Source organism: Homo sapiens, chromosome X (assembly GCF_000001405.40).
Source record: "Homo sapiens chromosome X, GRCh38.p14 Primary Assembly".
NCBI lineage: Eukaryota > Metazoa > Chordata > Mammalia > Primates > Hominidae > Homo > Homo sapiens.
Genome location: NC_000023.11, coordinates 153,626,617 through 153,651,600, shown reverse-complemented (window position 1 = coordinate 153,651,600; position 24,984 = coordinate 153,626,617). Strand labels below are relative to the sequence as shown.

The 24,984-nt window shown below is 60.3% G+C and overlaps 1 protein-coding gene across 4 annotated transcripts, besides 2 other annotated features; it reads right to left on the bottom strand.

Moving 5' to 3' along the window:
- Window positions 1-274: 274 nt before the first annotated feature.
- Window positions 275-9,160, bottom strand: DUSP9 (dual specificity phosphatase 9). 4 transcript variants are annotated; one of them, NM_001395.4, is made up of 4 exons: window positions 8,990-9,160; window positions 3,275-3,682; window positions 1,914-2,369; window positions 275-1,621 (listed from the first exon to the last, which is right to left on the bottom strand). In NM_001395.4, the coding sequence occupies exons 2-4, from the start codon at window positions 3,645-3,647 to the stop codon at window positions 1,296-1,298; spliced, it is 1,155 nt and encodes a 384-aa protein (NP_001386.1). In that variant the 5' UTR covers window positions 3,648-3,682; window positions 8,990-9,160; the 3' UTR covers window positions 275-1,295. The 4 variants fall into 4 exon arrangements, with proteins under 4 accessions (NP_001386.1, XP_011529425.1, XP_047297855.1 ...); XM_011531123.2 differs by lacking the exon at window positions 8,990-9,160 and adding an exon at window positions 7,942-8,867; XM_047441899.1 differs by lacking the exon at window positions 8,990-9,160 and adding an exon at window positions 5,296-5,396.
- Window positions 24,459-24,603: an enhancer, noted in NCBI's record as "145 bp enhancer 232 fragment used in the MPRA reporter construct; PK_construct_2057". NCBI's record gives its function as "activates an SV40 promoter by MPRA in HepG2 cells {active_cell/tissue: HepG2}" and the evidence as "EXISTENCE:reporter gene assay evidence [ECO:0000049][PMID:23512712]".
- Window positions 24,525-24,538: a transcriptional cis regulatory region, noted in NCBI's record as "HNF4 motif; enhancer activity is reduced when this motif is scrambled". NCBI's record gives its function as "necessary for full MPRA enhancer 232 activity {active_cell/tissue: HepG2}" and the evidence as "EXISTENCE:site-directed mutagenesis evidence [ECO:0005528][PMID:23512712]".

The window sequence follows — 24,984 nt, the reverse complement described above, 5'->3', positions numbered from 1 at the left end:
TGCTGCAACCTAGTCCCCAGGACAGTGTGTGGCACAGACTAGGGGTTCAAATGGAGGTGAATGAATGGGCGACTCAGAGCGTGGGCCAGCGGGCAGTGTAAGCACAAGATGGGAAATGATAACATGGGGCAGGGAGTGGGGTGGCACTTGAGTCCCTGGCCAGCCTGGCACATGCCCCTTTCCACCATGGGCAGTCCAGAGAGACCAAGAGGGCCTCCTTCCCCACCTTCCCCCAAACCCTCCAAGGCGCTCAGGAGGTAGCTTCTCTCTCTACTCAGTATCTTAAATAAACTGTTTATTCAGAAGGAACAATTAAAGAAAGCAACTATGATATGGATTACAAAAACAAACAAGCATAGATCCTCTCCAGGCTCCAGGGTGAGACGGCCCCACGCTGCAAAGACTGCCAGCCCTGGGCTGGGTGCATCAGTGGGCTAGCATGTGTGTGTGAGCGCCGACACGTGCGCACACACAAGCACACACACGCACACCCGCCACCCACAGGGGTGTGGACAGAAATGAATGACTGTGTGTGTCTGCAGCTTGGCCCCTTCCCCACCCCCCAAAGTAGCAGCGGCTGTGTGGGCCCCGCAGCAGCAAAAGTGAGGCCTTCTTCTTCCCCTCCCCCTCCGCAGCTCTCGCTCTGAGACCCCATCTCCTCCGGCGGTAGTTTGGCCACCCTCACTCACAAAGAGCCCCAGTGATCCCGTCAAGACATCTGGGGGAAGAGGAAAAAAAAAAAACAAAACAGCCCACCAGATGTGTGGCCGGGAACCTGCCCAGTAGCTCCTAGGCCATGGATGTGGGCGGCCACTGCACTCTGGGTCCCCATCCCCTGGGAGGCCCCAGCCCCGAGAGGCCCAAGCCCTTGGTGGAGAAACAGGGAGGTGACAACACCAGTGATGGCAAACGCCTCTCCCCCAAGCAGCCACTGGGATCCAGTGCAACGAGGTGGCACACACCCTTCCTGAAGGGGGAAGCGCAGGGAGGCGCAGGGCCTAGCCGAGCTGGCTGAGCACCCAGGGCCGGGACCTGGGCCTGGACAACCACCTGGAGAGGGAACCCCCACCCCCATCCCGCAAAGAAAAAGTAACAGTCGCAGAAGAGGCAGGCTCCGAGCGTGGTCCCGCCATAGGCACGTTGATTAGGACGGCAGCCCGCGTGAGGTATTGCGCTCTCCCCCCAGCACCCTGCTCAGGCCGAGCCCTCCTGCCCTCCCCTCCCTTGCCACACGAGTGGGCAGGGACACCCGTGGGTGGGGGTGGGGCAGGGGCCGGCCTGCCGGCCACGGGGCCCTAGGTGGGGGCCAGCTCGAAGGCGCCATCACTGGTGGGGGTGGTGAAGAAGGAGGGCGGGTTGGAGGCCGCAGATGCCTGCCCCCCACTGCCCTGCTCCTGCGAGTGGCGCTCCTCCAGCCGCAAGCTGCGCTCAAAGTCCAGCAACTGCCCCATGAAGTTGAAGTTGGGGGAGATGTTAGACTTCTTCCTCTTGACCAGGTCATAGGCATCGTTGAGAGAGAGGTGGAGCTTCTGCATGAGGTAGGCCACAGTGACGGTGACAGAACGGCTGACCCCCGCCAAGCAGTGGACGAGCACCCCGCAGTTCTGGGACAAGGCCTCATCTAGATGGGGCAGGAAAGGGCCCGGGAGACCCGGAGGGCAGGCGTGTGTGAGGCCGAGGCCTTCCGAAGGGCCCTCAAAGGCCCCGCCCTGCCCCCTGGGCCAGATGGCCACGACCTGCAGGTTTCTCTAGTGGCCTCTGGGGGCCGCCCTAGCTCTGCCTGTCCCCTAGAACTGTCACCTAGGCTTTTGGCTCTGGGAATGGCAGCGGGGCTTGGGAGGAGTACTCACAAGGGGGAGGCCAGAGCAGGCCTTGGGGAGGACAGGAGGGAAGGGTGGGTGGGGTGGACTCACCAATGAACTCAATGGCCTCCGGAAAGAACCGCGACAGGTTCTGGCTCCAGTGGTCGGAGATGGGGATCTGCTTGTAGTGAAAGTCACCATTCTTCTCGAAGAAGTTTGGGAGGTTGGGGGTGACATTGAGGATGTAGCGGATGCCCAGTTTGGCCAGGCTCTCCAAATTGGCGGAATCCCGGGCACTGCCCAGATAGAGGTTGGGCAGGATCTGGACAGGGAAGGATGCCCGCAGCCCCACTGGTGGGGGTGTGGCACCCTCCGAATCCAGGCCACAGCTCATGGAGTCGCGGTCAGCCTCGGATTCCGCATCAGAGCAGTCGGAGCCCAGGCACAGGCTGCCCAACCCCACCACGGGCACTGGACCGGGCACCGGCGCCATGCTGGAGCCGGCACGGCCAGCAAGGCTGGTCTCACACAGGTGAGGGCACTCGGCCTGGAATCTGCTGAAGCCTCCTGTTGGGGAGAGGGCATGGGGCCTGCTGACCTGGCCTTCTGGGCAGCCAAGTGCCTCTGTCTGGGGCTGGGGAGATGACCCTGGACAACTTGGAGGGTTTGCAAATGTTCCCAAAGGGAACACAAAACCCAGCAGCTTGGTGTGTCCTGGTACCCACGTGGGGCCCTAGCCACCCTCAGTCAGCTCGGGCTGCAAGAAGCTGGGCTCACGCTGAGCCACCGGAAAGGATCTTACACCCCTAGGGTCAAGCTGAGGCAGGTGTGAGGGCTCAACAGAGCCGAGATGCACTGCCAGCCTTAGGGAGGACTGCGGCCATCAGCTAAAGAAAAGGAGGAACTCAGATGTCAGCTCTCTGCCTGGGCATCTCCTGACTCTCAGGGATGAAGTGGGACCCCAAGATGTGGGGGAACTTGGGGGAGAATATGGCTCAAGAAGCCAGCATCTCTATTTACAGATACTATTTCCCCGGGCTGGACACCTGACACTTTATATGCTGTTCGGGAGGCTAAGGCAGGAGGATCGCTTGAGCCCAGGAGGCTTCAGTGAGCCGTGATTGCACCAGTGCTGTCTGACCCCTGCCTCCCTTGCTCATTCCTGAGCAGGTTGGGGAGGTGGGGATACCCTTGCCGAGACCCTGGGGAGCCCGCACTTTGTAATTCGTTCTTGAGCATCCTGAGAACTAGCTCAGGTCAGGCTAATTCTCCCCATTTTCCAGGCTCAGAGACTGGGCTGCCGAGGGTGAAGAACTTCCCCACGGTCACACTCAGGCTTCCCTCCTCTCAAAGCAGCCTGGCAGGTCATCAGGGGAGGGGGGCCTCAACTCGCTTTAGAAAAAAAGAAGTGGGGCTGGCCTAAGGTCAAATGAATCCCGAACCCCCTGGAAGGAGGGCCCCGCGGCACCTACCCTGGAGGTAGTAGGCCAGGTAGCCTTCCTCTCGCAGCTTCTGCAGCAGGGTGCCCAGCACCGACTCGGCCTCCCACTCCTCGGCCTCGGCCTCGGCCTCCCCGCGCCGGCGCCGGCCCCCGCCCTGGTCGTACAGGAGCACGGGGGCAGGCGGGGGCGGCTGCAGCGGCGGCCCAGGCAGGAGCGCGCGCACCGACAGGCTGCCCCTCCGCAGGCGGCGCAGCAGGAGCGCCGGCAGGGCCACGCTCAGCGCCCCACCGATGCGCGCCGACTCGTACAGCTCGCGGCTGCGGCAGTCCAGGAGCAGGAGCCGCGGCCGCGGGGGCGACAGCTCCCGACGCAGCCACAGGCACGAGCGGCCCAGACCCTCCATGGGCGATCGGCTCCCTACACGCTGGACCACGGGCGCTGCGAAGAGAGAGAAGGCGCGGTGTGAGCTACCGGAGGGCCGAGGGGGCTCAGACTTGAAGCCGGCCCCGCGTCCTGAAGGCGGGAGCCCAGGGTCCCCCACCATGAGGACTCCCAACAAGGCGCCCCAAGAAACCCCCCAGGCAGCAGCTCGGCCCGGGGAAGGGTCCTCGAGAAGAGGGCTGAGCGGCTAACCGCCCCTTCGAGGCTCATCTTGGGGTACCCTGAGGTCGCAGCCGCCTCCCTCCATACCCCCTTTCTGCTCCTGTCTCGGTCTTCTCGCGAACGCTCCCCAAGTTCGAGCTTCCGACTCTGGCTGGGGGTGTGCGTGCGAGGAGTGCCGTTCGAGGCCTAGATCTCCCCCAGGGCCAGGTGGGCCAGGGGAACAGAGGAGGCGCCGAGGTGCTGGGCCTCAGCGAGTCCTCTCAGAGGTGGTCTGGCCCCCGGTCCCCCATCTCCCCCTACCCCTAGGAGAGAACAAAAGGAAAGAGACCTGGAGCGAGATCCGGCGGTGGACGACCGCGCGTGGACGTTCTGGCCACGGCCACTGCCACGGCGGAACGCGAGGCGCCGTCCCGCGGCAGAGAGTCCCCAGGCCTGGCCGCCAGGAGAGGGCGGGGCGGCGGTGCAGGCTCGCACGTGGAAGCCGAGCCCCGCGCAGCCCGCGCAGCCCGCGCACCGGCCGCTTCCTGGCAGCCGGACCCAGCTTCCACCTTGGAAACTGCCTTCGGACGTGGAGTTACAACTCCGAGGGGCGGGCCGGGGCGGGGCTCCGGGGGCGGGCCCGGCGGGCCGGTGAGCCAACGGGTGCTAGCCGAAGCAGTCGGGTGGGACCTGCGAGTCGGCTGAGCTGGGGCTTCCACCGAGGCGGGACGGGGTCGGGGCAGAGGCCAAGGGCAGGTCAGGGGCCCAGCAGGGGACCAGCTGCGGCTCCCCTGGCCGGCGCCAGCCTGGCCTCGGGAGGCAGGGGGAGGGGTGAGGACCAGAGCCCAGCCCCTCTGCCGCAGAAGCTGCCTCCAGCCCAACTCACAGGGTGATACTGGAGCATCTTCTCCCCTGCCTGGATCTCAGTGGCCCCATCTCTGTAATGGGCTCAGAGCTAGCAGCTTGGGCAAACTTGGGATGCCACCGAAATCACGGAGGGGAGGAGGAGGCAGGACCAGAAACTTAGTGCAGCTTTGGCCCAGAGGTCTGCTGCAGGGCTAGGCAGGCAGGGGTAGCTCCTGGATACCTACCAATACCAGCCCGCTTCACTCGCACAGGACTGGCCAAAAGCACCCAGGAACCCTGAGCTCCCAGCCCTAAACTGGGGCACTCTGCTCTTATCACATTACTGATCCTAAGAGTCACCCGTGGCTCCCCCCTCTGCCTCCTTCCCTTAACCCCCCTTCGGCTAATCAAAGTGGAAAGAACTAGTTTCTACCTAAATATCTCTCACATCCACGCCTCTCTCCCCTGTCCCTTGCCCTAGCCGAGGGCTCAAATTCATCAGCTTTAGGCCAGGTCACTGTCACGTCTTGCACAACAGTCTCCCTGCCTCCGGGCCTGCAACGACCTGCCCTCCACCCTGCCCTGCCCAGCCCTGCCCAACGTCAGAATGCCATCCACTCAACCAAGGCTGGTGGCCTCCATCCTTTCCTCCATGGGCACAACAGGCGGGACAGATCCACAGGCAGCAAGAGCACTGGACAAGGTCTCAGGTGTGGTGAGCACTGAGGCAGGAGACCAGGGTCAGGGGGAGGTGTCCACAATGCTGATCTGGCTAAAAGTCCCTTCTCTGCTTAAAGCTCAACAAAAGCAAATAACAGTGTTGAAGGAAAATGTACGCCAGATAAGATAAAGCTCATACCCAACTAAAAGGTTAAGACCCCTGTAGATAAATGGGCAAAGAACCTGAAAACACTGCATACTGCAGGAAGGAGGGAATGCGGTGGCCTAACAAATATTTGGGGGAAGGTTCAACTTCAGGCGTGGAAGGAAAGCCACTCCAATAAACAAGTAACAATGACCAACGAGGTAACACTTCCCACCTACTGCATTAGAAATGTTCTCATTTTTGAGAACACGCAGTGCTGGCAAGATTGCTGTGAAATCAGCGTGCTGTTCAACTGTTGCAGGGTTATATATTGGTACGGCCCCTTTGGAAATTAATCTGGCAATATCAAGAGCTAGGAAAAAATCCCAACCCTTTGACCACTTTTGGGAATCTAAGGAACTAAAGTAAAAGAAAGCAAAGTTATGCACACGAGGATGGGCACCACAAAGCATTTTTCTAACAAGTGGAAAATGCAAAGCAAACTACGAGTCTAAAGACTCCTCTCAGGAGCCATGGAGTTAGAGGAGAAAATGTCTCAGGTCATGGTTAGGTAAGAGGGCAGGTGACGGAAAGCTAGGTGGGTCACCTCTAAGGGGCTTCCAGTTTGCCTCTCTCCCTCCCTTTCGGGCAGTGGGCTGCTAGCCGGGGACTCCCAGGACCCTGGCACTGGGCTGCTTTCCGGCCACACCCCCCATGTCCCTGCGTCTAACAAGAGTCCTAATTCCTGCATCCAAGGGCTTTGGGCAGCTGGACTGTGCCCTTCCTTCTCTCACCCAGTGGGCAAGGGCCCCAGCCCAGGCCTCCCTCCTATGCCCCCTGCCCAGATTCTGAGATTCTGCTCATTCTTCAGGCCCCCTCCTCCAGGCAGCCTTCCCAACTCGGAGCCAGTAGTCTCCCTCCTCTGTGCTCCCTAGTGTGGTCACTTTCCCCCTTTCTCAGTGTGTTCCTGGGGCAGGGACTTTGTCTTCTGTTTTCTGTCCACAGCCTAGCTCCACAGTGGTGGAGGTGGACACCGGCACCCAGCCTGGGGGCTGCCTCCAGGCCCACTGCAGCTGTGGGTGGGAGCTCAGAGTGGGCAGGGGTTGAAGGCACCACGGAGGTTCTGCCATGTGCCAGTCTTGTTGTGGAGAGTGGGGGTGGCGCAGGGCTGTGACCAGCAGGGAGCTGGACAGCCACTTCCCCGGCCCGCCCTGCCGTGGGGGCTCAGTTCGGCTAGAGAGGGAGCTCCTGAGCTGCTCAGTGGCGCTCTCTGGAGAGGGTTCCCTGGAGGTGAGAGGAGCTGGGCTGGAATGAGGACGGGGAGAGGCAACCTCCGCAATGGGGAAGGGAGGGGAAGCCTAGGATCCAAGGGTCCACGTCTCCCGACGCTTGGCGAGGGGCTCCCCTGCACCTAACTGCGGAGCCCTGCTGCCAAGTCCTCGCACCGGGAGAAAGCATTTGGGAGGAGGCCATGAGGGGCTCAATTTCCAAAGTCAGAGCTCAGTGCTCGGGGCCCACAGCGCCCGCAGCGCCAGCAACAGGACAAATGGGAACCTGTTGCCACCTCCGCACTGCAGGGCTGAGCGCAGCCAACCCCCTAATCCCCCTCTCACCCGCGACCCTCGCCGGGCCGCCCCCACTCAGGCCCCCTGTAGCGCCGGCTCTGGGCGCCGCCCCGCCGGCAGCCGCTCCCGGGTGCGCTGTGCTGGGGGAGGCCGCGCCGCGCGCCCGGGCCTCGTCTGGCCCCCTCCGGCGGGCTGAGCCAGGCCGCGCGCTCGCTGCCCGCCGCAGGGTGGGCGCTGCGCCTGCCGCCCCCGCCCCCGCCCCCGCACCCGCCCCCGCCGGGCGCCCCGGGCCTCCGCCGGGCCGGGCCAGCGCCCCCTGGAGGCCGCGGGGACGCCGCCGCCTGCAGGCCTCGCGCGCGCCGCGTGCGCCCTCTGGTCCCGGGAGCCTCCCGAGAGCGGCGCCGCGCCGCCTTCCCCCACGAGATGCACCGTTCCCGCCGGGCCGAGTGACAGGATTTCGGCTGTCGCGGCCGGGTCACATGGCCAAGAGCACAAGTCCCGGCGACAGCGTGCCTGCCAAATCCAGTGTCTTTTCCACCAAATCCACTTTCTGCTGGGGATGGCTTTCTGCTTTTCCTGGTCGGTCTCCTCGCGGGACTGGGAGTTCCTCCAAGGCAGGAACGGGTGTGTGCCCGGCCCCAGGCTGGCCCCAGCCCCCAGTGCAGGGCCTGGCACGCGCCCGGCGCTCGCGGAAGAAATGCTCGTTAACAAAGAAGGCATGAATGAATGAAACCAATTGTTGCCTGAGGGAGCTGCTCCTGCTTTTCCTTCTGCCGATCACACACTCCTCCCCCACCCCGACACGCACAAGCACACGTGCACACACAGCCCTCCCCGTAACACACACGCAGGCAGGCACCCAGACAGCGCGCGCGGACGCCAGCCCCCATGGAACCCACCTACTACGTGCTTGCCGGGCAGCTGGCGCCCCTTTGGTCCCACCTGGGCCGCCTCCATTTCAGCGCCGGGCTCTCTCCGCCGCCTCCCCGCCCCTCCCCGGGGCCCCTTGCTTCCACATCTAAGTACCCTACCTTGGACCCCAAAGTGCCTTCTTTATTTCTTAGGGAAGAGGCCAAGCTAGTCGCTGGGGAGTCTCAAGGTCTGTTTAGGGAGGCACCTGGGGGGCCCAAGGCTGCTGAGCCTCTGCCGAAGGGGAGCCAGAGGTGCCTGGCAGGGATGCCACCAAATGCTGCAGCCTCTAGAGCCCGCGTGCCAGGTGTTGGGGGTGAGGGAGGGAGGGACTCAGAGATGTGCTGGGGGGTGTCGAAGGCTATTTGTGATGGGGGCGGGGCAGGATGCTGGAGAGCGTGAATCCAGCAGGTGTGCGCGCGTGCTGGGGTGGATGAGAGTGCGCGTTGGAGATGCTGGAGGTGTGTGCCTGGGACGTGGGGAGCGTCAGCCACTGGGATGTGGGTTTCTGACGGGACCTCGCTCCAGGATGGGTGGACTGCAGTGTCTCTGGGCTGGCAACGTGGGTGGGGTGTCTGTAATGGGCAGATGGGGAGTTCGAGGTGGTGGGGGCATGGTAGGGGGAGCTATGTTGGTGCAGGTATGGCAGAGACGTGTTGGAAGCGTGCGTGTGCGCCTGGGTGTGTACTGGGGCGTGGCAGGGTCTCGGTGGGTTGGCATGAGTTGGGGACAGTGGTGAGTGGTGGGGCAGGGGCAGCTAGTGTGTGCACTACAGGCACCCGGGTCTGTGGTGCGTGGTTTGTATGCGCGCGAGTGTGCAGCCGGTGCAAGTGGCAGGAGACACGGGAGGTGCACGGGCGGCGTGCGGGGGTGTGCGGAGCAGCACCGAATGGGTGTCGTAGGGGCGCGTGCGCCGGCTTCGTGGGGTGTGCGTTGTCAGGACTTTGGGGGTGCAGGGTGGAGGAGCGCACGTCGGGGCGGGGGCAGCCAGGCCGGGTGGGGGGTGGGGGTCCCCGGGGCGCCGCTTGCTCCACTCACCTCCGCTCTGCTCGGTTCTCCGCGCCGGTTCCCTGCGTCGCGGCCGGGAAGTTTCCGAAGCTCGGGCGGCGGGAAGCGCCACTGCTGCAGCCTAACGCCACCGGAACCCCGGGTGGCGGCCTCTCCTGGAGCCGAGGGGCAGCCGCCGCCGCCGCTGCGGAGGGAAACTCCAAATCCCGCCTCCGCCGCCGCTGCCTCCTCCGCCTCTGCCGCCGCCTCCTCCCCTCCAGTCGCCGTCTTCTCCGCCCCCTGCCCAGGAGGGGCACTGTAGCTGGCGGCTCGCGGGGAGGGAGCGGGGAGGGGCCGCGGCCTGCCCGGCGTCTCCCTCCACCTCCCACGCCCCCCCCACCCCCCGCCGCCTTCCTCCCACCTGCAAGCCTCTGTTCTCTAGGCCAGTCCTGCCCGACGCGCCCTGCGCTCCCCGGTCCCCAGTGGCGCCAATGAGTGGGGGCTCCGGCGCTTGGGGCGCGGGAGTGGGGTTGGGGGCCCTGAACTAGGCTGGGCCTGGGCTAGGTGGACGGTTACGCGCAGAATCTGCACTGGCACCCCAGCGAAGGGGCCCATTGAGGACTGGGCGCAACTTGGTGCCCCAGAGCCACCTCCTGCTCCCACAGTGAAGAGGGTATAAAGTCTGGCTGACAGCGCTGCCAATTCCATCCCCCACCCCAGGTCCCCCTGCAGTGTCTCCTCTCATTCTCATGTGTCAGATTCTGGCTAATAGTAATAGCATTTGAGCCTCAGTGCCTGGAAGGGGTGGAGCCAGGACGTTTGGGTGGGGGAGGGGCTGGAAGCGAGTAGGGAGCGGCTGTTGTCACTAGGTCCCGTTAGCTTTCTCCTTTGTGCCAAAGGTCACACGCATTGCCATCAAGGACCTCATTTTATCCTTACAGCAGTTCCGGAAGTCTGAGGGGATTGTCCCCATGCTACAGCCAGGGAAACTGAGTCCGTGGCTCCCTGGTGGTGGCACAATAGTGTAGTGGCAGAGTAGGATGTGGCTTGGGCTGGCTGAGTTCAGAAGCCTAGAGCCTGAGCGAGTGTGAGTGCGGAAGATTGCGTGGGGAGGGGAGGCAGAGGACAGCCCGTGGAGATGTGCACCTGGCCTTTCTGGGGCTCCCAGACCAGCAGTGTATGAGCCCGGCCTCGTGCCTGCAGTGGGGGATTGCCTGAGACCCGGCAGGAGGCTGTGAGCATCAAGGGCCGTCTTCTCCGCCCAGGGAGCGCAGGATAAGGTGCGGCCAGGCAGGGCTGGGATGCCAGCAGCTCCGCTGGCCGCTTGGCTGTGTCTGCCGCAGCGCTGAATTCCCCTGAGTCATTACCCCTGGAAGAGGCGAGGGCAGCAGCTTTGCCTCTGGAGCCCAGGTCCCTGTCCCATCTGGGTCTCCATTTCCTGGTATGTACGTTTGGGGAGAGAGGTGGGACCATGTGATCTCCAAGGACCCTCCTAGCTGTGCTGCAGTTTCAAGCCATGGTGCGTGAGCTGGGAGGGTCCTGCTGTCGCCAGCCAGGCCTGCCCACCCTGCTCTGGGCCCCGACTGCTCCTCTGCACCTTTTCAGCCTTGGCGGCAGCACAGCCCCTCCTGGGAGCAGGCCTCTGGCCCTGCAACTGTCTTCCTGCTCTGGACGCTGGGCCTCATGGGACTGCACTGGGGCTCTCCCCTACAGCCTTGGGGAGTCAGGCTGCCCAGGACTTGAGCTTGCACCTACCCAAGGCTATGCCACGCAGGCGAGCACATGCAGCTGCCACTGGTGCCCGTACTGCTAGACGTGCTGAAGTTACGGAACCTTTCCTAAGAAATCAATATTCCATAGAAGCTGTGCCCTACAAACAGGGGACTGCCTTTCACACTCCCCCTCCACTGAGGGCACCTCCTGTTTGGGAAGGACGTACGACAGCTGTGCCCATGGCCTGGGTGCCCAGCTGACCCCCGGCAAAGGCTTGGTGGGTGAGCTGACTCGGAGGAGCTTCTAGCAAGGTTTGTTAACATCCTCCCCTCCGCCACCATCCTGTGCTTTAGTGACTCAGGGCTGAGAGGCTGGCGGAGAAACATTTGGATTGAAGAATGCCACCCTCGCCCCTGCACAGCTCCCACTCCCAGCCCTCCTGGTGTCTCTGCTCTCCAGGCAACAAGACCCATCCGTTGCCGGAAGAGGAGCATGCAAAGGCCAGGCCTGCCCGGAGATGCCCGGGGAGCTCGTGAGGCACAGGCCTGCTCGGCCTCAGGAAATAGCGGTTCCCTCTTCATCCCCAGGGCTGGGGAAGAAAATGCAGAACACTCCCAAGGGGGACTTGAGTGAGTGCAAGTTTGCTTGGCAGAACCGAGGGCACAGCTGGGTCTCTGACTCCGAAGCAGCTGGGTCCATCTGCTGCTGACGGGAGTCTCAGGGTGAGGCGACGGGGCCGCCCCAGCCCTCGCCCTCCATTCCACCCGGAACCCCAAGGCCACTGCCGTCCTTCCTGTCCCTTCCTTGGGGATGGCCATTGGGAAGTGGCCATCTTGTTTCCTGTCAGACCCCACGCCCTCCCGAATCCCAAAGGTGCTCCCCAGAGACCTTGAAATCAGACACAGGAACCGCCAGCCCCGGGCAAGGTGGAGGGGCACGGGAGCTGCACTTTGCTGGGGGTAGAGAGGTCTTTAGCCTAGCAGTGCCTCTGGCGGCCGGCCCAACTCACACCCTCTGACATGGAGGGCTTTGGCTGAAGGCATCCATATCTGTTAAGGGACAGTTTGTTCAGGGCCCGATTCCGGGCCACTCTCCAGGCAAATGAGGTTTTGGGGAGAGACCGTGGGAAAGGTGATGGCCGTCAAAGCCTCACAGCTGGCACAGGGGCAGGCACGTTCCTGCCATAAGCCAAGCGCCCTCCTCAGGGCCCCGCCCATGGTCCCCACGCTGCCCTGCTGTTGGCTTGTCTCAGCACACCACGGCGCCTGCTGCTGCTGCCTCCGAGTGCTGGGTCCTCCCTGCCTGTGTCCCTGCATGGAACCTGGATCACATCTGCGGGCTCCGGAGCCAGGGTGCACACACATCCGAGACTTCATTTCTGGGTAACCATTGGGTCCCACAGAGATGGCTTCTGCAGCTGAAGCCTTCTGTTCACATGACAATCCCCCCACCCCCCTGCGCCAACCCTCCAACTCCTCCCTCTGCACCCTCCCATATCTGAAGCGCTTCAGCCGGCATCTTCTAGATGTACCCCGCTACCAGTTACCATGTCTTCAGAAGCACCCTACCTGTCTGCAGCCGCTCCCAAAGGAGCCCTGCCCAGACATTTGAAACAAAATGGCTCTGAAATGTCACTTGCAGACGAGGTCAAAGGCAGGCCAGCCGGGCAGCTGAGTGCCCAGGGGTGTGAGCACCAGGGAGGGACAGGAGGTAGGTGAGAGGGAAGGGAGGGGGGTAGAGCACAGAGCGCCAGCCTGTGCAGCGATTGATTTCTGCGGGCCGGGACCTGGTGAGCCATTAGCACCCCCATTTGGGGAGGGCTCAGGTTCAGGTTCAATACAATTCCCCTCTGGCCAGCTGCACTGGCTCCCTCTCCTTGTCTTGTCCTCCCGAGCAGCAGTGCATGTGCGTCTGGATATACATTACAGATGATATAATCCTTTTACCGGGACAGCCAGCCACCCACAGCCCTGGGCTAGACAGGGGAAGGGAAGTGAGGGGAGACAAGGAGCCTCTGTCCAGACCCCATGCAGGGGAAGAGGAGGAGAGAGGGCAGCAGGTGACTTTCCCGCGTGGCCCAGGGACGTCCAGGGCTAAGGGAACCAGGAGAGAGGGGAGCCACCAAGGGTGAAACGATGGGTCTGGGGAGATTGGGGGTGCCAAGGATGTTCCCAGTCCACCTGGCTCCCCTGCTGCAGATCCCCCCAACCTTTGCCCCGCCTGGCCCAGGAGGAAAGGCCCACCTGCCTTTCTGGCCGCATTTCAGCATCCCCCACCCCGTCCCCCTTCCAGGAACATGCTTCTCCAGTCAGGGTGTCTCACCACAGGTAACAAGATAAGACACGAGACAGGCAGCCATGGCCAGGCCCAGGCAGGGGCTTGTGGCGAGCGCTTGCCCTGGCTCAGATGTCTGTGGGGGTGGAGAGCGGCTCCTGGAGGCTGTGGGTTTTTCTCATCTCACTCCTCGGGGGCCTCTGCCCCTGCGCGCTCGGTCACAGCACCTGTTGGCTTGTCTGGCTGCCTCCCTCCACCACTCCCCATCTCCTCCCAGCACCGAAAGGCCCAGCCTGGTGGGCCCCATTGGCTTCCTGCACCCAGACCCATCCCCACCCTCAGGCTGCTGAGCCCCTTGCTGCTCTGGCATCTGGGAGCACCCAGCACCTCTCCTGCCCACCGCTGCCACTTGCCCAAGGCCCTGCAGCGATCAGGGGCACAGCTGGAGACAGAATCACAGCTGTGGGTGCCACGAGTCACCTTCCAGGCAAGGAGTCCCAGCTGATGGAGACTTGTGGCCTCCAGGACAGGGGCGCCGCGTGGGCCACCCTTGGAAGCACAGCTGTCCTGAAGCTTCCACCTTGTGTGCAGGCCCCTTGGGTAATGGTGACAGCAGCTCCAGGGACAGATGAGGGTCTCCTCCCTCCCACCACTGGTGCCGTGACCGTGAGGACAAGCCATGCTGTTTGCTGCACTTCTTGTTTGCTTCTGGATGAGGATGCTGAAGTATGGAATGTGGGGGCGGTGACCGGGCTATGTGCTCAGTTCCACAGACTAGCAGCCAGGGCCCCATGGCCAGGGCGCCCCTCCGCAGGGAACTGCCTCTGCCCTTGAGTGGCTCTTTCTTATAGGCTGGGGGACAGGCAGGAGGGGAGCTGCTGGCTCAGGCCTCAGTCACCTGGCAAGCCACCCACCCGGCCAGAGCAAGGAAGGAGGCAGCTCCCTCCTGGTTGCAGAAGGGTGCTGGAGAGCCATGGGTGCGACCGGAATTGCAGAGAAGAGCTGGCCTGTCCTTGAATGTGGGCCGCCCCCACCAGGGTGGAGTTCAAGGCTGTGGTCCAGAGCATGTGCACCCCAGCCCAGGTGTGGGCCTTCTCCTCTGTCACCTTCTCTTAGCCCTGCTGCCCCCCATCCCCGGGTTCTCGCTGCCCCCTCTTCATTCTCCTGCCTGAGAGCCTCGCCACAGGAAGGCTCGGGATATTTCTGCCAGCTCTCTGGGGAGTTCTCCCGTCTAAATTTAGAGAGCGGCTATTACCCCTCAGTACCTGCTTCCCACATCGGTGGCTGATTTGGGTCCCGAGGGCCCCAGAGAGGAGAGCAGTGCAGATGCGGTGCCACGTGACCTGCCCACACCTCGGGGCCGGCTCCTGGGCAGAGAGAAGGTGGAGAGGAGGGGGAAGGTGAGAAAGGTGGCAGCCACGTCCCAGGGATCAACCGCATCCACGCGGAGAGGGCCAGTGGGCCTCTGCCTGAGAGATGCCATGGATGGGAAGGGGACAGCCAAGGCTCCTTGTGTGGGGTCAGGCATGCAGCCTGGCCTTTCCCGGTGGGAGGCTGTGGCAGGTCACTGAGCCCCTTCCAGGGCTTCTTACTGCCCTGCCTGCAACGACAGGGTAACCATCTCCACAGCCATCTCCCTTCCACCACTGCACACTGCATGCCCACTGCCATGTCAGTGTTATACAGAGAAAAGGAGGGTGCACACAGGCGGCTCTGGGAGTTAGTCATCAGTCCTGGCCACTGCTGTCACCACCTGGAGCAGGGCCTGAGACTCGTTCTTCACTGCCTTTTGAGCTCCAAGAAGGACGGCTGTGGCTGACATGGGCTGGGACCATGAGGGTGACCCAGGGTCCAGTCTGTCAGCCTGTAAGGCTCAGCTCTCAGGATGCGTGGTTGGAGAGCTGGCCAGAGCCATGAGGACCATGGCTGCCTGTTCTTCTCAGCCCTAAAGGGGAAAGCAGGGGAGGCTGAGGATGGGATCCCCAGGACCATGAGCCTAGGTGGACTTCCCAGTCGGCAGGGCAGCCAGCTTGAGACTGGCTTCCTGGAGGGGTGTGCGTCCCGTCTCTAGAGGGTCCAAGCAGAAGCCGCAGGGCTGCTGCCTTTCTTGTGCTACCCGCTGCAGTGGTGAGCCCAGCCAGAGGGAGGTGTCACAGATGGCTGGTGCTGAGGCTGGCTCCTTGGCATCTGAGGATTGGCCTGCTCCCAGCACTGCCCCCTGGCTGGCTGTGGTCAGAATTGCCCTATGGTGGATGGTGGGTGGTTCTTTGGAGCTCAGCACAGGCAAGGCAGGGAGATCTGCCTGGAAGCTCTTGGGCCGGGTCTCCTGGCAGGCGGCGTCTCTGGTGCATGCTCACTTCCCTCTTCTCGGCCCAGCTCAGCCAGAACCTCAAGGGCCCCAAGGGAGCCACAGTGAAGGCCCTTGCTCGGCCTCTGAAGGGTCTTTTGTGTCCTCATAGTTTGGGTCGGTGCTACCTGTCGCTTGTCACTTCTCATGTTGCCCGAAGACCTGTAGGACCAGGAGCTGGTGATCCTCAGCAGACTGCCATCCTGTTTCTCTGAGCATGTCGCTTATTGATTGTTGTTTTGGGGGAGGGATGAGTGTCGGGACCTCCTAGCCCACCGCCTGGCTGACTTCACTCCAGTGCTCATACACTGGCCTGTGACACCAGGTCTCTGCCCCAGGCTCCTGGGCCCAGCTGCCCCCAGGTGGGTTCCCTTGGGTGACCTCCAGGCTTCTCAAACTCACGTGTCCCAGACACAAGCCCAGGGCTCTTATCTCAGTGACAGCCACATCGGGTCTGCCTGGGTAGGCTCTGTAGGCCGCAAGGGAGAGAAGTGTCCAGAGGCTGTCTTCAGGAAAAGGGGACGTGTAGTGCCCAGAACGTCCTCTCCTCAGCCAAGCCCACCTATCCCCCAGGGCTCCTCCCATCCCCGTGTCCTCCATCCTCTGGCCCTCATCCCCTGGCCACCAGCCTTGAGCCTGCCCATCCTGACCTCCCTAAAAGGCCTGAGCATCTCAAAATTGTTCTGTGCCACCCCACAGCTTCCAAGTTGAGAGCCCCCTTTGGCCTGGTTTCTCCTGAGCTGCTGCCGGTGGGTGCTGTGTGTTCTCCCACCCGCCTCCCCAGAGCCCAGGCCAGCTGGCATCGCCTTCCTTGAGAAGTGGCGGCTTCCAGACGGGACTCATCTGCCTCCTGCCAAACTCCAAGGCCTGCAAGGCTCTTCCTCCACCTGCCCCTGCTTGCTTGGGTCCCCTCCTAAGGCCTCCCTCCTCATGCCCACCCCCTCCTGGTTTTCTTTCCCTCACTCTGGCCACTTGTCCCAAGTCTCTTTCTTATGTCCCTCTTCTGGGGGACGACTGTGACATCAGTGTCTCCTGGGTTCCATGCCTGTAGCTCCATTGCTGCCTGGATGTCCCAAAGTTCTTCCCTCCACACCCCAAACTCGGGGGTGCCCTTGATTCCTCTCTCTCCATAATCACCCCTCACATTGCTGGATTTTCTCTTCACCCAGGCCCTGTCCCCTCTCGCTTGGACGACGGCCCCAGCCTCGCACCCATCCTCCACATCAAGGCCAGAGGAAGTGTCCTTGCCCAGATGCCTGGCCACTTCTCCTCTCAGCCCCCTTCAGTGGCCCCTCGTGGCCTCAAGGACAAAGTCCAGCTCCACGGCCCTGAGCCATCTGGCTCCTGCTCGCTTCCCCGGAGTCCTCTCCCCGACTTCCTCCAGGCCCACATTCCAGCCCCAACTCGCGCCTTGCAGTTGCCAGAACGAAGCAGGATATCGCGTGTTCCCTTGCCTTATTCTAAAGAAGGTCACATGCTGAGGCTCCAGGTGGACAGATATTTTGGGGGGGCACTGTTTAGCGTGCTGCAGTCCTCTCTCTGTTCCCTCACTTCATGTCCATCACATGTGCAAAGTACATTCACCCACATCTTTGCCTATGTGCCTGCACCCTCCTGCTGTACACGCTGCCCCACATCTGCCTGGCAGGGCACTCATCTTTCCAGCCTCCCCTCAATGCTGGTGCTGGCACGAGAGTCCTTTCTTTCCTTTGCTAGGACCACCCAACACAGAATGCCTGTGTCCTGCTTGCCCCGGACCACTGCTGTCCTTGGCTGAGGAGCAGACGGGACGTTTGGAGGAGCGGCATCTGTCTCCAGGGCTTTGCACCCGGCCTGGCTCTGGGATGGGGCCGTAGCAATGTGTGTAGACCCCAGGAGGGAAGGAATTAAAGAGCCTGAGATCCCTGCTCTGGTGGCCCTGTGCGGCTGTGTCTGTAGGTAGGATGGGGCAGTGGGTGGGGAGTGGGTCAGGGCTCCTGGGCCACTGCCTGGCCCCCTGCGCTCCCTCCACCCTTCACTGAAGGAGGAAGCCGGGCTATAGCACAATTGTGGGAGGGGGTGCCTGAGATGGAGATGGGCAGGGTTGGGGTGTCCCCCAAAGGAGGAGGGGAGGGGGTGAGCATGCAGAGCAGAAATCAACCCCTTGAGGTCCTGTCCCCAGCCCAGCAGTGCTCTCCCAATGCTTTCTCGGTGGAGAGAGTGGGCATCTGTCCATGAGCACAGGGTTGTGCGAGGGGGATGCCGCTGATGACAGATGACGATGAGAGGCTTGGGGCCTGGAGGAGCAGCTGGACACGGCCTCTGATGGGCTGTGGGGCGCACTGACAGAGAGATGCGGAACCCCACATTCGTGTCATGTCCTGGCCTGAGAGGGGCCCTCCAGCCTTTGCAAGATGCCCCACTCCCTCCAGGCACCCCTTGGCCTGCAGTGGGCATGGTCCTTACCCCCCTCAGCAGGTTGCTTCTTGGCTCGGTGTCCTGGCACCGTGTTCCCCGCCTGCAGTGTCCTCCCCTCCTCCCTGTTGGCCCCACAGTGCTGGGCATGCCCCTCAGGTGCCCTGCTTCCCTCCCGCGTGGCATCGGCCAGCTGGTGAGGGCATGGGCACTGCAGATGCCTCTGTGCTCCAGGGTGCCTGGCATCGGGCCTGGGCACAGATTTCTGGTGGGTTGTTTATTTATTTATTTATTTTTTGAGACAGGGTCTCACTCTGTCACCCAGGCTGGAGGGCAGTGGATCAATCACAGTTCACTGCAGCCTCAACCCCCAGGCTCAAGCGATCCTCCACCTCAGCCCTCCAAGTAGTTGGGACAACAGGCACGCACCACCCACTTGGCTAATCAATTTTTTTTTTTTTTTTGTTGAGACAGGGTCTCCCTATGTTGTCCAGACTGGTCTGGAACTCCTGGGCTCAAGTGATCCTCCTGCCTGGGCCTCCCAAAGCGCTGGGATTGCAGGTGCGAGCCACTGCACTGGGTACCGAGTTCTGAGTGGAGCATGGCGAACTGGGGCGGCTTTCTGCCTGGCTACGCTATTGGGGCCCAGAGAGGCCCATGCCCGCAGGTGGCACTCGAGGCACACCCCGCAGTCCCTTCCCTGCCCAGGTCCTCCCCCTACCCAGGTCCTCCCCCTACCCTCATCTTGGTGTGTACCATGCGGCCTCGTTCTTTCTGTGGCCTTGTCCTGTCTTGAAAAGACTGGGAATTCCTGGGTGAGGCCCATGGGCCTGCTGTGGAATCCCTTTCTCCCGTGCACTGGCGTGCCCCAGAGCCCGAGGGCACTGAGCCTTTTCTCCCCCTGCCTCTCACCTGCCCACCTGTCCCCACTTCTGCTCCAGGGAGCCCGCTGGGTCCCTGTTGCTGCTGTCAGTCCCTTGTTTCTGCCATTCCCTTTCTCTAAATGCACCCTGACCTCTGTTGGAGGCCCCTCCGGCCTTCCCAGCCCAGCCCCGGCCTAGCCCTGCTCCCTTCTCCTGGCACCTGGGCACCCTTCATGGTTTCATGATGCTCCAGGTGGCTGTGCGCCGTCTCAGAGAGCACAGAGTGTGGCTGCCAGGGCCAGGCTGGCCACAGGCCTCCCAGTCTCCCTCAGCTGGCCTGGCCTGAGGCGGGCTGGCCACCCCCCAGGGGCTGGCTAGGCGTGCGCTAGAGGAATAAGGGGGGACAGGGGCAGGAGGAGGGCCAGCTGCCATGTCATCACAATGGTGGTCCCTGGGACACCTCTCCCTGGAATTCTGTGACCAGTCAGCTGCAGGCCTTGGTTACTGAGGAAACCGAAGCCTCGTGTGAGCGCTCGTCATCTGGGAGGAGGGATTCAGGCAGAGTGCGCCTCCGTGAGGGACCAGGTGCTCGGGTGACTGCCCGAATCCTCCTGGGCAGGCTCAGAGATGTGCGCCGAGAGCCTGGCTGCTCCCAGGGCTGCAGAGGCCCTGGGTGAGATGGGGCTGGAAGCAGTGAGGAAGCTGGCCCTGTCCGGAGCCAGAGCAGCCACACTATGTCCACACATAGCTGTGCATATACCTTCACAAGGACGGGGACAGCAGAACGCCTCTCAGCCACGTAGGCCAACTGGCAAGGAGGCAGCCAAGGTTGAGCTATATATATATGTATATATATATCAAAGGATACAATAGAGACAAGGCTAACACTTTCTAGTACAGCCTTAGTATAGAGCTTGCTGTGGAGGCAGAGATCCACAAGCCAGAGAACACCAAAGATCAGCCACAACCCGACAGAAGCCAGGGGAGAGGCCTGGGACGGACCTTTCCCTCCAGCCTTCAGAGGGACCACAGCCCTGCCGACACCCTGATCTTGAACTTCTGGCCTCCAGAGCTGGGAGAGAATAAATGTGTGCTGTTTTCACACATCCCGTGTGCAGCATTTTTTGACAGCAGCTCTAGCAAATGAATGCAGTGCTTCGGGAGTTTCGGGAAGCTTTCTTAAGTGCTCTATCGTTTAACTCAAAAAGATCCCTGTGAAGTTGAGGGTCTTAGCATTTCACAGATGAGGAAATGAAGACTCTGAACATCTGAATGACTTGTTCTTGTTCAGACTAATTCAGCCAGCTGGAGGTAGACCCAGAGTTCAATTAAACTCTTCGATGTGAAGTCTGGATCCAGGAAAGTAAATGTAAGTGCTCTAACATCTTCCAGCTTCCCGATATATTCAGGGTTTAATGTTTTTTGAAAGCTTTGAGCTCTCCAGATATTGTTCAAGTCAACCCTCTCCCATGCACCAACCTGCCTCTGAGAAACTGATTCCTTTTTAGGGAGAGAAAAAATTGCCTTTCTTTTTGTGCTATAAATGTCCCCCAGGGCACTGCTTTAGCTGCATCCCACAAATTTTCCTGTTTTGTAGTTTTGTTTTTGACTATTTTGGTGTATTTAAAAAGTTTTTCCTTTAGACTTCCTCTTGGACCCATGGGCTATTTAGAAGCATGTTGTTTACTTTCCTGGTGTTTGGAGATTTTGCTGTGATTCATTTGGAATTTGATTCTATTGTGGTCAGTGAACACACTGTATGATTTTAGCTCTGTTAAATTCGTTGAGGTTTGCCTGGGATATCGTCTATATTGGGATGTGCCCCATGGGTATTCTGCTGTTGTTGGGCAGAGTGTTCTGTAAATGTCTATCAGATCCTGTTTATAGATGGTAATGTTGAGTTCTTTTATAATTTGCTGATTTTCTGTCTAGTTGTTTTGTCAATTTTTGAGAGAAGTGTGTTAAAATCTCCAACCATAATTGTGGATTTGTCTATTTCCCCTTCCAGTTTTATTAGAGTTGTTTGTTATTGAGACAGGATCTGGTTCTGTTGCCCAGGCTGGAGTGCAGTAGGATAATCACAGCTCACTGCAGTCTCAACCTCCCAGGCTCCGGTGATCCTCCCACTTCAGCCTCCCAAGTAGCTGGGACCACAGGCACACACCACCACACCCGGCTGATTTTTATATTTTTTTGTAGATATGGGGTTTTGCCATGTTGCCCAGGCTGGTCTTGAACTCATGAGCCAAAGCAATCTGCCGGCCTCAGTCTTCCAAAGTGCTGGGGTAACAGGCATGAGTCACTGCACCTAGCCCTCCAGTTTTATGAGTTTTTGCTTCACATATTTTGCAGTTCTGTGGTTTGGTGTATACGCATTTAAGATTGCTATGTTTTCTTGGTGGAATGACCCTTTATCATACACAGTTTTGTTGTTGAAATGAATTTTAAAGATTTTTATGCAGGTGATTTTTTTTTAACCAGTTACAGTTTTCATGATATTTGGCGCCTGGCAACAGAAGAGGGTCTCCGTGAAAAGAGACTCAACTCAGAGGAGGTAGTTTTGCTTTCTTTAGCTATTCCAGACCGAGACTGAGGAAGAGGAAGGACAGCCTGCACCTCCCTCTGCCCCTCACCATGGAAAAGGGACAAAGCTACCAGTGAACATTCTCATCCACTTGGAGATGCCGATATAACAGAAGCACAAATGGGGCTGGAGGTTTTGATAAGAAACTTGTAACTCCTTAAAGAGGTGTTTGATGAATTGTTTATTCTGCCTCTGACATAGACTCATATTTAACAAGCAGTGGCAGCTCATGGCTGATATTGAAACAAGGTCCTTAGTTTTTTCTTAGTTAAATGGCATTTCTTTAAATCCTGGTCTACATTATGGCTTTTCCTGAGTGTGTATTCCAGTATAGTAATTCATGGCTGGTGATGTTAACTAAGAGCTTATCTTTAGGGAGAAGCATGATGCAGTAAGCTCCCAATCCGTGCCTGTGGAGTGAATGGATGAACCAATTCAGTTGGGTTCTGGGGACAATCTAGGTCTGTGATAGTTACTGGGATGGTGGCTGAGGTCTCAGGAGCAAGTGACTCACTTTTAACAAGTAGCTCACAAGACCCACAGGTAGGACAGGACCAGGGAAAGCCACTGGCTCTGCAGAGGAAGACGGCAGGCCACTGAGCTGCCGCTCAAAGTAGGAGTTCACCAGGTGGCTCTGGAAAGCAAGTCGTAGCAGGCTGGGGGCACAGCATGGGCAAGAGCACGGAGGCACAGAAATACTTCCCCTGCTCAGGGACCTAGAAAGAGGGTCTGTAGGCCGGGCGCAGTGGCTCTCGCCTGTAATCCCAGCACTTTGGGAGGCCGAGGCAGGTGGATCAGTTGAGGTCAGGAGTTCGAGAGAAGCCTGGCCAACATGGTAAAACCCCGTCTCTACTAAAAATACAAAAATTAACCGGGTGTGGTGGTGCACGCCTGTGATCCCAGCTACTCAGGAGGCTGAGTCAGGAGAATTGATTGAACCTGGGAGGCGGAGGTTTCAGTGAGCCGAGATAGTGTCACTGCATTCCAGCCTGGGTGACAAGAGCAAGACTCCATCTCAAAAAAAAAAAAAAGAAAGAAAAGAAAGAAAGATGGTCCATAGTATTCCTGGAGTGTACTGTACCACAGGGCGTTTGTGCGTGTGCTCATGTGCGTGTGCACGCAAGTGTGTAGATATTCAGGATAAAAATGAGGCTGAAGGTTGAAGAGCCGGGATGTGCCACACGGCTGCCACCTCAGAGGAGGGAGCTGTGGGGAGGGAGACAGCAGAGGCTGCCCTTTTGTTCAAGAGCCTAAAGATGCTTCCTGAATGCCAGCTCGGCTCCTGGAGTCCCTGAGGCAGGGCGCACTTGCTCCCCTGGGTCATGCACAAATGCACTTATGTGTGTACACAGACACAGACATGCACAGGCAGACAGACAGACAGACAGACACACACACACACACACACACACACACACACACATGGGCCTGCCTTGTTCACTGGCGCAGCCCTCCCCAGGCTCTCACACGGCCTCCTGCACACTCCTGCCTGCAGGCACACAGGCAGGCACTCCCGCGTGTTCCGAGTGTGTGCTCATGTATGCGTCCTTGCCAGCCTGATGCTGCTGGCCTTTGAGGCCCCTCAGTGCCGCCTTGCTCCTGGACCCCGTTTTAGCTGGCTGCCTGGGGCTAATCCCTTCCCTTGCCCCCTCCCCCGGCTCTTGGCCCTGTGTACCCTCCAGAGTGTGGGTGAGAGGGTCCTGGTGAGGCAGGCCTGCTGGGGGAGGGAGGGAGGCACTCTGCCCCATACCTGGGCCACGGGCATTCAGTGCTGGTTGCTGGCCCTAGCAGTCGAGTCCTCACGGGGAGGCCCACCTCTGGACCAGTCACCCAGGGCAAACAGGACGTGACCATCTGACTTGGCCACAGGCTGACAGACCCCTTGAGGCTATTCTCTCTCAGGATCTGTTTGTGCAGACAGCCTCAGAGCTGCAGGGCCCAGCCTCTCATGTTACCTGCATTGGGGAGCAAATGATTTTCACATGTATATGAAATGCAGAGGCTAGTGTACGTGTGTGTGTATGCATGTATGTGTGTTGGCCGCTCACTCCTCACCCAGCCCCTTAGGAGGTTGCTGAAGAAGAAAGGGCCAGAGCCTTCCAGAACCCCTTGGAGCAGCCTACATGCCTGCGTGTGTGCTCCCGGGAGGGGTGTGGAGAGAAGAGGCAACCGCACCTGGAGCCACTATAGATGTGGCGCGGCAGGGGAGCTCGGCATCAGAAATTGCTCAAGTACACTTGAGAATGTACTTGAATTGTACAGAATTGTACAACTGAATTGTACTTGAATGTACAGAATTGCTCCACTTGGGTGGAGGTGTGTAGTGTGCAAGGCCATCCCTGTGAGATGCTAGGTGGGCAGCTGGGCTCCCAGCTCTGGAGCTTGGCTAGAAGTCTGGCTGGTAGGGAGCGGGCAGGCCTCGGGGAGGGCGCCCCAGGCTGAGCAGCTGGCTTCCTTCCTGGCAGTCCCAGCCTCCCGGGCCTCTTGCCCGCCCCTTGAGGCCCCTGGCTGCCGCCCTCGCTGCCCCAGCCCCGGCCACACTGGCCCTTTGCACGGTGTTGACACACATTCCATCGCCTCTGCTTACCGCCTTGCTTTCCATGTGGGCAGATGCCTGCGGCGATGGCTGTCTGGGCCTGTCCTCTCCCTGGGACCCTACTTCCTGCATGGCGATCTTGCAAATACCTCCCACCCACACTGACTTTGACCTGGCCCAGTGGGGGCCCAGGGGGCTGATTCCTGGAGTTTCGGGCACCCCTATGAGTCCCCAGGCTGAGAGGGCCAACCTCCAGCCCTGGCTGGTGTAGACAAGGGTCCAGGTTCTGAACCCGGGTTTGCTGCCTGGAAGGCCCTGTCCCTGCTTAAGGCAGATGGAGGTGCCTCTCTCAGGAGGCCCCAGGCCTCGGGGCCACATTAAGGGGAGTGGAGAGGAGAGAGGGCTGTGTGAGGACCGCCGGCGGGGCCGGTGTGCCCTGTCATCCTCTCTAGGTTGGGCATGTGTTTGCAATTCTTTACAGTAAAAAACTGAAAACATGCTGGAAGGGAGATTGATCTCCTGACAGGATCATGGGCTTGTCAAGGTCGTCTTCACTTGCTCTAGGCGTCGCGCTCTTCAGCTGACCGCGCTGCTGCCTCCACCACCAATGTGTCCACACACGCGGTGCCAACAATGGTGCACACGGTGGCCCCTGCTCCCCCATTTCTAGGCTTGTGTGGGACCCGCAGCCCACTGCACACGGCCCTTCCTCCTGCGGTGGAAGTGGGGTGCACTCCCAGGGGCCCCCGGCCTAAGGGGCTCACTCCCCAGCCTCCATTCAGGTTGGCCGCTCATGCTCTCTGGAAATGAGCCAAGGACAACGGGAGCTGCCTTCCCAAGGTCGCCCCAGCCCCCACCAGGTTACTGGACGATGCGGGTGCAAAGGTCCCCCCGCCCCCCGCCTCCACGGCCCAGGAGGACTCTGGGCTCAGCTCATTCCCTCGTGTCGGAGTGGCCTGGGCTGCCGCAGCAAATGACCACAAACCGCTTGGCTTCAGCCAACAGGAATTGACTCTCCCAGTTCTGGAGGCCGGAGTCCAGAATCGAGTGCTTCCTCCGGTGGCTCTGGGGGCGGATCCACCCACCTCTTCCAGCTTCTGGGGGCCCTGGGCACTCCCCACCTTCGCCTCCACATGGCCTTCTCTGTGTCTCTCTCTCTTGTCCCTTCTAAGGAAACTGTCCTTGGATTTGGGGCCCCCTGGATCATCTGGGTTGCTCTCATCTCCACATCCTCAATTTAATGACATCTGCAGACACCCTTTATTTGCATATAAGGCCCTGATCACAGGGCCTGGGTGTTAAGATATGGATGTATCTTTCAGTGGGGGCACAAAC